The 12695-nt window shown below is 37.9% G+C and overlaps 1 long non-coding RNA gene across 2 annotated transcripts; it reads left to right on the top strand.

Moving 5' to 3' along the window:
- Positions 1–5408: 5408 nt before the first annotated feature.
- LOC105377699 (uncharacterized) lies at positions 5409–11893 on the top strand. Of its 2 annotated transcripts, XR_001742959.1 has the most exons (4): positions 5610–5800; positions 5906–5992; positions 7814–7907; positions 11700–11893. It is a non-coding gene; the product is annotated as an uncharacterized LOC105377699 (long non-coding RNA). The 2 variants fall into 2 exon arrangements; XR_001742960.2 differs by lacking the exon at positions 5906–5992 and having other exon boundaries at positions 5409–5800.
- The last annotated feature ends 802 nt before the right edge of the window (positions 11894–12695 follow it).

Genomic DNA, 12695 nt, shown 5'->3' with positions numbered 1-12695 from the left:
ACCCCACATGACTAATTTAGTGGACTCAGGTTAAAAATGTGCTTTAAGATCCAATGAAGTGAAATTAATAGCTGGTTGGGGAACTAAGGTACTCGTGTTGTTATACTAAAGAGTGGCTTCTTCAGGTTATTTGGTAGCAAAGACCTAAAGGGCAGAGCTTCCAATTACAAGACAGTGTTACCACTCTGTCTGGAACGTGGGTTAATAAACCTCTCCCCTTGGAGAAATTGGCAATACATGTTGTCTATTTGCAGTTTAGTGGCTCTATTTTATGGTGCCATTACCTTCTAAAATATGAGCACTTTTATTCATTAAATTACTCCCAAATGTTTATTGTCCAATCAAAGCTGGATGAGATTAAAACCAAATTGATTTTCATTTTAACTTGTGAGAGGCCTCATCAACATTTTTCCTGGAAAGTTTCTTTAAAAATAATGAATTGCTCTATAGTTTGAGTTTTAACATTGCAGAATCTTAAGAACGCATGGACAAGACAGGTGAATCTCGTCATGTAGACATTTAGCTTTTGCAGATTCAGCTGGAGCAAGAGAACGAGAAAGGGAAGAAAAGAGAAAAAGAGGGAGAGAAAGAGGAAAATTCCAATGTTGGAAGAAAAATTGATTTCATTGGACTTATTGAGAGAAGATATCTTCATGTCCAATTTAGCTATAGGTATGAAAGTTTTGTTCATGCACTGGCTTTAAAAATTAAAATATTTTATAAGCAGAAATCAAATTCTTGGCCGGGTGCACTGACTCGTATCTGTAATCCAACACTTTGGGAGGCCAAGGCGGTTGGATCTCTTGAGTTCAGGAATTCAAGACTGGCCTCGGCAACATAGTGAGACCCCATCTCTGTGAAAAATACAAAAATTAGCCAAGTGTGGTGTTGTGTGCCTGTAGTTTCAGCTACTTGGGAGGCTGAGGTGGGAGGATTGATTGAGTGGGGAGGTCAAGGCTTCAGTGAGCCATGATCATGCCACTGCACTTCAGCCTGGGTGACAGAGTGAGACCTTGTTGCAAAAAACCAAACCAAAACAAAACACACACACAAAAAGACAAATTCTGTGTGTCTCATTAAGTTGAAAGAATTTGAAGATATCTTACTAGTGTTTTCAAGATATAATCCTCTGATACCTTTCTCAAAAATCACCTGCCATTGCTTGGCAAAAATGTAGATTCATTAGCTCACCACAGACTACTGGATGAAAGTTTTTGATGATGAGGCTCTAGAATCCACATATTACTAGCTTTCCTTGGGGACTGTGATAGATTTAAATTGAAAAAAAAAAAACACTGCCTAATCAGTAATACAGAATACCTCATTTATTTTTAGAAGGGATGTCTCTGAGGAGCAGAATGGTAAAGTGACCTGCCAGAGTAGCACAGTATGTTAATCAATATTAATATGTTTACTGATTTGAAAACTTGTGCTTTTCGCCTACACACCATTTTTTAACCTTCATGCATCACCTCTAAATAATGATAGTCAGTTGTTTGTTATATACTGGTCACAATAATGAATAATGAAAGAATTGAGCTTAAATATGTTTTTTTAGTGGGTACTAGAGAAGGCAATAAGAATAGATAAAAAGGGAATAATGGAAGAATAGCCAGCATATGGTCAACATGTGATAATATAATCTGTATTCCAGTATTGTGACACCCCTACTGTAGACGTAACCTACATTGTATTCCACAGATTCCCTGTCTTTATTTGTCTTCATGTTTATCAAAATACTGTGAAAATTCAAACATTGCAGAAATATATAATATGGGAGAGGTCTTCCATAATTCCATCACTGATATCACTAATATCACCACTGTGGTAAAAAAGTTGTCCATTTCTCCATTTCTTCCTTAGTAACAGTTGTTGTTCTCCATTTCTTCCTTAGTAACAGTTGCTTGAATTGTGGAAATGGGGTAGGGAAGTAGCATGATCTACACAAAACAAAACTGCAAGTCCCAGCCTCTTCTGCAAATAAAAATCACTAATGTAATGTAAGCAGAAGTCGTTTGGTAAGGACTCCATGAAAATTTTATAAAGGAATCACCTTGGCACAGAGATGTTTCCTGTTTATCCTCCCACTCTTCTATTCTTCCTTCCTATAATGGTGATGTGATAACTGGAGCTGCTTCTGCCTTTTTTTGGTTGAGTTTAGGAATTCAAACTTGAAAACGAAAGTCATGTGTTAATGATGGTGGGACAGGAAGATGGAAAGGGCCTGGGGTGAGATTTTCTATGCCAACTTTGGTCCGCCTAGCTCTTCTGGATTTCCTTAATGAAATAAAATAAAATAAAATACAACTTTATCTTGCTCAAGCAATTGTTATTGCAGGTCTCTGCTTTAGCAGCTGAATGCAATTCCAAACTCACATGACATCCTTAACAGTTTGTTGTATGTTCTTAGTCTGCTTTCCAGGAAAACATCTTTACTCCATGGGCAGATGGAGGGAAGACTAAGCTATATAGGGAAAAGAATGAGAGTCAGTCTGGTGTGGAAATATATGAGACAAAGAAAGACAGAGCAAGGACAAAAATGATGAGCGTCATTAAGAATTTTAAGAGTCCTTCCTGGGAGCTTTACTTTCATTTATACCATAAATACATGAGCATATATAAAGTATCCCATAGAAGGCTTGGTTTTTGTCAGGCTAGTAGCTTTTATTTCATTTGTTGGTAGCTATAGCTTGATTTCAAAGGGCAACCACCCGTCCTATATTCTTAGTTCTTAAGGTTTAAATGAACTCACCAGATGTTTTGTCACCATAGTTAGGCAAATGACCCAGGACTGGTCAAACAGCCTATTTCATGTTTCCACAATGACTGGTTCAGGAATCAGCGATGTGACACAAGCCAATAGGATATAATCTTAGTAAAGTCTGGAATAGAAGAGCTCATGTTTTGCTAGCTGTGAGGAGCCTGGAAACTTGGAGCTGCCTATAAATATCTCAAAAGAGAACCTGCCTGAAGATGATGCCAACATAATAGAGCAGAGTTGAGAGATAGAGAGGAATGCATTTCTGATGAAATTGCTTTAAACAAGTTATCTGGCTGATTTTTGTACAAATTGTCCAACGCACCACTTTGGAAAACACTGTTTCATATTTTAACCTTACCAAAGAGGCTAGCTAGAGGAATACCCTCAAAGAATCAGAAGCCTATTTTATTAATGTTCCCTGTAATATTTCCTTATTTCTTGTGTACATTAAACTCATATTTCCATTGTTTGTAGTTTATCGTGTTTGCATTCTCTACTTTTTTTTTAGACGGAGTCTCACTCTGTTGCCTAGGCTGGAGTGCAGTGGCACGATCTCAGCTCACTGCAACCTCCGCCTCCCCAGGTTCAAGCAATGCTCCTGCCTCAGCCTCCCGAGTAGCTGGGACTACAGGTGCCCACCAACAAGCCCAGCTAATTTTTTGTATTTTTACTAGAGACGGGGTTTCGCTGTGTTAGCCGGGATGGTCTCGATCTCCTGAACTTGTGATCTGCCCGCCTCGGCCTCCCAAAGTGCTGGGATTACAGGTGTGAGCCATTGTGCTCGGTCCACAATCTCTACTTTCTTGATCACATCAGTCTACATTTTGATCACCTCATTTGTCTTCTCATTTTACTTGTAGGAAAAGAGTCAAATCTTGTGAGACTGAGACCTGGTGCTAGTAATTGGGTATGAAAGACAGAATATTCATCCTTTCTTAGAATCTGTACCCTAAAAGTAGTTTTTTTGTTCCTAGAAGAGGCAAAAAAGCTTTTGCCATATTCATAAAACCCTCAAATTCCAAAACACCATTCAATAATCCCCCAAAGTACTATAATCAATGTTCAACTAACACATAAACAATCTCTTTTTCCCTAGCTGATGATTCTACTGCAGTATTTTCTCAAAAACTGTACCTTGGTGGGCCATTCTGTTCTGCCTCTTTAGCTATTGAGCCAAAACATGATTTTGTTAGCACCAAAATGTATCTTCATATCATAATCATTGCTGCAATAAATGGGATAACAGAGTATCTATCAAGTAAGGCTTTGCTGGATCCAAGAGAGCTGTATATTACATAAGAAACAAACATGAATTCAAGACTGAAAAGTATAAAACATCCTTTCATAGCAGGAACAGGACAACTTGTAAACTAGAAATTTAGGTGTTTCTACAATTAGAAGTCTAACAGCAGTTCTTATCATTATTCCAGCTTCTTAAATAGAAGTATTTCTTCTGTTTAGGTTGATTCAAAAGATAACCTTTTGAAAAGATAACCTTTCCCTCAAGGGAATATGCAAATCCCATGATTTCTGTGGAATAGTATAAAACTTGTATTTTGTTTTTGCTCCTGTTTTAGGGGACATCTTTAAAGATATTCTGTTTTAAGAGTATATATTGTGCTAACTTAGTAGCGTTCTGGATGAATGGGTTGGTAAAATATTGGGGACCAAAAATTAAGAACTGTAAATTCAGAAAAGTTTAAGAAACTCAATTATTTATTTTTACTTTACCTGCCTGTATTTGCAGTTACCTACCATTAAATACTTCAGAATAAATTCAATGTTTCTATGTAAAATTATTTGAAGTTATTAGAATATATTCTATTAGAAAAAGCAACATGGTAAGTTACATGAATGAGTAAATTCATATGCAGACATTCTTCTTTCCAGTTGGTTTCTTTTTTAGTTCAAGAAAAATGTGGAGTACAAGGTAATTTTTTTTTTTTTGTCACAGAGTCTTGCTCTGTCACCCAGGCTAGAGTGCAGTGGCATGATCTCGGCTCACCGCAAGCTCCATCTCCCAGGTTCACGCCATTCTCCTGCCTCACCCTCCCGAGTAGCTGGGACCACAGGTGCCTGTCATTACGCCCAGCTGATTTTGTTTTGTATTTTTAGTAGAGATGGGGTTTCACTGTGTTAGCCAGGGTGGTCTCGATCTCCTGACCTCGTGATTTGCCCGCCTTGGCCTCTCAAAGTGCTGGGATTACAGGTGTGAGCCACCGCACCTGGCCAGTACAAGATCATTTTTAAACAACTGCCGGAGTCTCCACTTACATTCTGTTTATTCGCTCAATCAATCATCCAATTATGCAGAAAATACTGGAGGATCTACTTTAAAATGCACTGGAATCACCCAAAATAGATGGTATAAATGCAGATTAATCAAGCCTCAGTCTCTGAGTAAAAGAGTATAGAAATCCCAGTTTTTCCAGGTTTTTCAGATACTCCTGATTTAAGTGGACCTTAAACTACACTTTGGAAAATACTGCCTTCCTGTATCATATCCACCCTAACATCAAATGTGACTGAAAGTATCAAAATGCTTAAAATTCCTGCAGGGCTGGGTGCAGCAAGCAAGCAACATGCAAAATATAAGAAGGCATCAACTCTCAGACTCAGTTCAACTTTTTTTTTTTTCTTGAAACAGAATCCCACTCTGTCAGCCCGGCTGGAGTGCAATGGCGCAGTCTTGGCTCGCTGCAACATCTACCTCCCAGGTTCAAGTGATTCTCCTGCCTCAGCCTCCCAAGTAGCTAGGATTACAGGCTTGCACCACCACACCTGGCTAACTTTTTGTGTTTTTAGTAGAGACGGGCTTTCCCTATGTTGGCCAGACTGGTCTCAAACTACTGGCCTCAAGTGATTTACCCACCTTGGCCTCCCAAATTTCTGGGATTACAGGCATGAGCCACCGAGCGCAGTCCTGACTCTGCTCTTGGGATACCTGAGAGTACTGTGTTATATGAATATCTGATCTACCTATGGATTCAGCCGACCTAAAGTTGTTGAATTCTTAAGCCACCACCCCCTTCTCACCAGGTAAGCCCTGTATTCATCATAACTTTGACTAGATTCTCAGACTTAGTGAATACCAGTTCAGATGCTTGTCACATAGATGGACATTATGTAACTTTCTCTTCCCAGCACAAGATTTACTTTCAGATCATCAGTGCGTTAATTGAACAAATGGCAAAGATCTTGCCAAAATCTGAGAAGATGTCCTCTGACGTTGTAAGTAGTTTTAAGTGTAATTTCATTTAAATAGCCCAAAGCTTTTAGCCAAATACAACTTGGCAGTTCAATAATATTTGGGGAGGGTAAAAGCAGGTACTGTGTCAAAGAGCCAAGTGAATAAATTTTTTATGGAAGTCAGTCATATTAATTGTATTGTTCAAAGATGATACTGTTCACATCGGTATTTATATATCTGTTAAAATGTTTGGGTTTATCTAATCCATGATTTCCTTTATCATATGTTAATACTGGATGTATTTAAAACTTCAAAGTGAGGTGATCTGCAAGCAGAGGGGCCCTGAATGTGTCTAAATGGAATAGTGACATATTTCTCCTATAGATGACATTGCAGTTATTAACTGCTCATTATTCTAGAACATGTGTGAACCCTCACCCTTCAGGGGTGCTTGTTTTTCACCCTTGAAGTTCTTCAGTTCAAAAAAGGTTAAAGATCTATACCTTAACAAAAGAGAGACAGCCTCAGTTTGCTCTATAATATGTACTAAACTTAAATATTCTTGTTATAATATGCTAGTTGGAAAGAGATTTATCCTCTTAAATAATGCCAAGACTTTCCTTAACCCCATTTCTGTGGATATTGTTTGCTTTTCAGCATTTCAATTCTTGCTAATCTTATTTCAGCATCCCACATAATTAGAACTGTACAGATTCTAACTATTCAATCATCTCTTCCCTCCCCTATAAAATGTGCTAACAGGATGTGAAATGGAGGTGGGCTCCCTGTGTTCTTGCTTTGAGTCTAAGGGAAGTTAAATATAAAAACTCAGGAAGTGTCTGAACACACCTCCATTTCAATGTGATCCTCAGTTAGTACATTTCCCTTGAGGTAGGCAGAAAAATGTGAATACATTTTTTTTAACCTATCCAATTTCAACTTAAAACTTCATCTTAAAATTTTCCTTTTGCCCCATCAACTGGGTGCCCTAGATTATACAGGAATGGAGAAAGAAAAAAGAACTTGGCTTAACCATTTGCTATTTTGTGATATTTTATATCATATGCTGCTAGTCTCACCAGGAGTGAATATATGTTAATTCACATATCCAAATCTATGAAAAGGAACATGAAATGGGATCAAGTAAGTTATATTGAATACATATACAGATACATTAAGCTTTAGAAAACATCTGGACTTTGGAATACTGGTCCACACTTGTCTTTCAGAGAGTCTCTTGTAGGTATGAAGAATAAAAAATTTATTGTGATTTTTATTATGTTCAAATTCAGCAAAGGAGATGAATTCATTTCCCTTGAACTGTGGTTTGAATGCGTGTTTGAATTTATACATGGAAACTTAACCCCCAAGGTGATAATATTAAAAGGTGGGGTCCATAGGAGGTGATTAGGCTATGAGGGTGGATGGGATTAGTGCCCTTAAAAAAGGACGGGAGGGAGCAAGTTTGTCCCTTTTGCCCTTGTGCCATGTGAGGACACATAGAAGGCACCATCAAAGGCCCTCGCTGGCCAGTGAATTTGCTGGTGCCACAGTCTTAGACTTCTCAGCCTCTAGAACTGTGAAAAATAAATTTCTACCATTTATAAATTACCCAGTCTATGGTATTTTATTGTAACAGCAGGAATCAACTAAGACACCTAATCCAACTTAATATGGTTTGGCTGTGTCCCCACTCAAATCTCATCTTGAATTGTAGTTCCCATAATCCCCACGTGTTGTGGGAGGGACCAGGTGGAAATAAATAGATTGTGGGGGCAGTTTCCCCCATCTTGTTCTTGTGAAGTGAGTTAGTTTTCGCGAGATCTGATGGTTCTATAAGGAGCTTTTCCTCCTTTTGCTAGGCGCTTCTTGCCGCTGCCATGAGAAGAAGGATGTTTGCTTCCCCCTCTGCCATGATTGTTAAGTTTCCTGAGGCCTCCTGAGCCATGCTGAACTGTGAGTCAATTAAACCATTTTCCTTTATAAATTACCCAGTCCTGGGTATATCTTTATTAGCAGTGTGAGAAGGGACTAATAAGGAACCTGCAGTGGACCTTGCCTTACTAATTTCAATCTCCTGTACATATGGCCTAGATTACGTACAAAATCTAAGTTTACTTCAATGCTGGGTTAACCGTATGGCCACGGTGGCTGGCACGAAATTAACCAACCTTAAATATTAGTATGGCTTAGTCAAACTTTCATTTATTACTAAAGATTTATCACTGCTGTTTCCTTTGGGAATGTGGTTGAGTAAAGTGTTTTGAGCTGCGTTCGTGCATACTTGATACCTGCTCCTTTTGATCTGGGTGATCTATTAGAAGGAGGAGGAGAAAAATTAAACCTAAAATATCTTTAGTTGTGTGGTAGAGGTGGAAGGTAATTTTGTTGGGGTCTGATGAAACCCCTGAAGGATTATTAGATCCTGAAACCTGAAAATTAGGCTCTAAAATGTAGCACAATTGGAGATATTTGTGAACTTGACCCTTTCTAGAATTTTTGAAAATTCAGGTAAGTAGAGACACTTGAGTTTCTGGACTCAAGATTATATATGGTGTCTTCTCTGTTTTTACTCACGTTTTACATTGAGGCATTGATAATTAACACACTTACCAGTTCCTTTTAGCACAGACCTTGTTTAATAGAGTATAGACAAAAGTCTCAACGTTTGAGAACTGCCAGGAAAGGAGAGGAAACCATTTGCTTTCCGAGAGCACACTGGATAACTTCAGCACAAGGCAGAATAAGGGTATTTAGCTCAGAGGGAGGAGAAAGAGAGTGGCCTCGAATATTGCTTATTTTAGTTTTCCTTAAGGCTGCCCACACAAAGTTTTCAGTCAGTGACTCATCAAATTTCATTCTGCTAGATGTGATGCTGAATTTTTTCTATCTTAAGATGTTCAACAAGAATTTTCTGCTAGTAAATATATTTCCGGTGAGCAGAGGTTATTAAGAATACTTGTACCATGGACCCCTTTGGCACCTGGTGAAACCTGTAGACCCCCCCTTTCTAAATAAAGTTAGTGAGGGCATAAAATACCTAAGATTAAAGAAAACCTATATTTGGCCGGGCGCGGTGGCTCACGCCTGTAATCCCAGCACTTTGGGAGGCCGAGGCGGGCGGATCACGAGGTCAGGAGATCGAGACCATCCTGGCTAACACGGTGAAACCCCGTCTCTACTAAAAATACAAAAAAATTAGCCGGGCGTAGTGGCGGGCGCCTGTAGTCCCAGCTACTCGGGAGGCTGAGGCAGGAGAATGGCGTGAACCCGGGAGGCGGAGCTTGCAGTGAGCCGAGATCGCGCCACTGCACTCCAGCCTGGGCGACAGAGCGAGACTCCGTCTCAAAAAAAAAAAAAAAAAAAGAAAACCTATATTTAAAAACATGTCACAAATATAATAAAACAAACTTGTGACATGGTAATATATGCACTTCTTCAACACATTTAGTAATCGAATCTATGATTACCTAATTACTATAATTTTGACATAGTGGTGGACATAAATAATATATTGAACTATTTGCACAACTTTAATGTATTAATAATATGAAAATTGTGATTTCTTCTGATGAGAACCACAGATTTTAACAGTACTATGGTCTGTTGCCTACATTCATAGCTTAAGGAATGGCTAAACCAGTTACAGGTTAGTGGGAAAAGGGGATCTAATTGTATTCATTCAAGTTCCTGGACTTCCTGAATTCCATACATGGTCTTCTGGGTGGCTTGAGCTTCCCACGTTAAAAATTCTTGCTATATAGATTAAGATGAGTAAGATACAACCAGGTTTCTTTTTTACATGTCAAATAATAGTTTTGATATATTTCTCATGACATAAGCTTTATAAAAACTGAAAAAAAAACTATCTTGAAGATGATATTTGTGTATGAAAATTAGGTCCAGATTTTATTCTTTTTTCCTTTTAATGTTTTTTTCTTTATGAAACTAAGTGTTCTGTTGGCATGTTTACCACTGTTAAATGCATTTTAATAAAATCCCTGTGGTATTGTGTGCTTTGACATTGCTGGAAAAGGGTGTCTATTTATGAAAATAATGTTAGACTATAAAGTTAAATAAAGGGAGATGAGATATCAGAAATAACACATTTCCATGGTAATTTTTTTTAAACAGTAGATTGATCAATAGCATTTTGCGGTAAGATGTTGTTAATCTGTCTCAGTCAGGACCCAAACAGCAAGCCATTTCAAATTGATCACAGAACAAAAATTGGCATTACGTTCCCTTGGCTTCATTGTGAGGGTGCTCTACAGCTCATTTCACGACCAGTGAAAATACTGATGCTAATGACAACTATAAGAATGCTGTGCCAAATATCACAGAGAAAGAAAGCAAAGGTTGGGGGTGGAGATTATAATTGTTTCTAGCACTGTGTTTAAAACTCTTGGAACTTGTGTTTTCATAGTGAAAGAAAACAATTTTTAATAGCAAGCTAGGTGTGTCATCCACAACATCCCAGTCATGTTTAATTTGTATTTTCTGAAAAGTTGCATTTCTGAGAAACACAATGAGAAGAAACCAATGGAAGTTATAATTCCAGACCAAAAGTTCTGACTCAAATGTTGACAAAGATCAGGTAGGAAACATAGAGACTTATAGTAGGCCAGGTATAAAATAGAACAAAGTTTGTGAGATGACCAGGGTCACAAGGATTGGATTGTAAGTGAAAATAATAGCTGTGTAGCCAATAAGAATTTTGCAGTCTGCCCGTTAGAAAGACTGTTATGCCTGGACTTGTGACCTTCCTGATCTTACATGGATACAAACCAATGTCCTTGTTTCTTTGCTTTCTCAGCTAATAGATTTTTAGAAAAGGGTTTCTGGAGCCAAACACAATGTCCATGGTTTGACAGAGTGAATGGAGACAGGAAAACATACTTTCTCAAAAGAGCAAAATTGCTTTTCCATCCTCATTCTTCTGGTCTGTCCACTGTACTGCAGCAATATTAACCAACTTGATCTTTCCTTTTGTCACATTCTTACCACCATATTTCTACCTTAATTTATTTTTTAGCATCAGACTTTCATGCAATTATTTAATTTTTGGTTTCCTACCACAGATTATGTATGACTTATCCAGTGTTAGTAGTAATACTACAAAATAAACAAACAAAGTGACAATTTGTTTAGCCTTGAGTCTATAGGGTTTTGCTGACTGGAACTAGGATTGACTGACAAGGCTATGCTTAGGTGGTCTCACCTGGGCTTGCATATGCCTCTGCAGCCAACAAGAATTAGCTTGAAGGTGCTGCTCATCTTGGCTAGCTCACTCACATGTTTGGTTGAGGGTCAGCTACCGGTTGCCTAACCTAGGATGTCCTCATCTGGGCTGACTTGAGTAGTTTGGCTCTGTTCCTCATATCCCTTTCTTCAACAGGCAAGCCTGAGTATGTTCTTCCCATTCTATAGATGCTCCTTGACTTCTGATGGGGTTACATTCCAATAAGCCTATTGTAAGTGAAAAATATTTTAAGTAAAAAATGCATTTGATACCTTGCTAAAGCCATCATAAAGTTTAAAAATTGTGAAGTTGAACCATTGTAACTCAGGGACCATCCATTACCAGCAGAGGGCAAGAGACAAGCCCGAGCACATTTTCAATCTTATTCATGAGTCACTTTGCTAGTATTTCATTGACTAAAATTAGTCATAAAACCAGCCAGGTTTGTGAGTAAAAGAATAAAGGCAAATCAAAATCACAAAGAGATATCACTTTATACCCATTAGGCTGGAAAAATAAAACAAAATGAAATGAAACCTGAAATTGACAAGTGTTGGAAAGGATACAGAGAATTTGGAACACTTCTGCATTGTTGGTGAGAATATAAAATGATGGAGCTGCTATAGAAAATGGTATGGTGATTCTTCAAAAATTTAAACATAGAATTACAATGTAATCCAGCAATTCCCTCTCTAAGTACATACCCAAAGAATTAAAAGAATTTAATTTTCAAATAATCAAAAGCATGGATTCAAACAGATATTTGCACACCCTTGTTCAGTAGCAGCATTATTTACAAAAGCCAGAAGCAGAAGTAACCCAGGTGTCCATCAACAGATGAATGGATAAACAAGATGTGGTACATATATGCAATGAACTATTATCCAGTCTTAAGGGAATTTTGATGCATGCTAGAGCATGGTTGAAAGTTGAAAACATTACGTTGTGAATTATGCCAGTCACAAAAGGACAAATATTGTATGATTCCACTTCTACTAGGTCCCTAGAGTAGTCAAATTCATAGCAAGTAGAGTGGTGGTTGCCAGGAACTGGAGTTGTTCCAGGGACTGGAATTGGGAATTAATATTTAATAGACACAGGGTTTCAGTTGGGGAAGACAAAAAAGTTCTGAAGATGGATGGTGGTAATAGTTGCATAATGTGAATGTACTTCATGCCACAGAATTGTACACTCAAAAATGGCTAAAATAGCTACAAGAAAAAAGTACACAAAAAGAGAAAGGGTATAGATTCAATCTCATCAGTAATTATTAGTGAAAATCATGTAGCAAAATGGGTGCACAGAAACCAAAGAATTAGAGACATTCATGCAGTATCTACCACAATGGGAATCGTTAAAGGTGGTAGTACTTTTAGCAAGGCACTAGAATGATTACAGTATTAAATTTTCTTCTAAGTGGCCTGATATTTATAACAGATTTAAAAAATTATAGAGAGGTATTATACCAGTCTTAGCACTGAACTCTAAATGCAATAGGGGTT

Source organism: Homo sapiens, chromosome 5, assembly GCF_000001405.40.
Source record: "Homo sapiens chromosome 5, GRCh38.p14 Primary Assembly".
NCBI classification, from domain to species: domain Eukaryota; kingdom Metazoa; phylum Chordata; class Mammalia; order Primates; family Hominidae; genus Homo; species Homo sapiens.
Note: the sequence above shows the minus strand (reverse complement) of the source record. Positions and strands in the feature narration are given on the sequence as shown.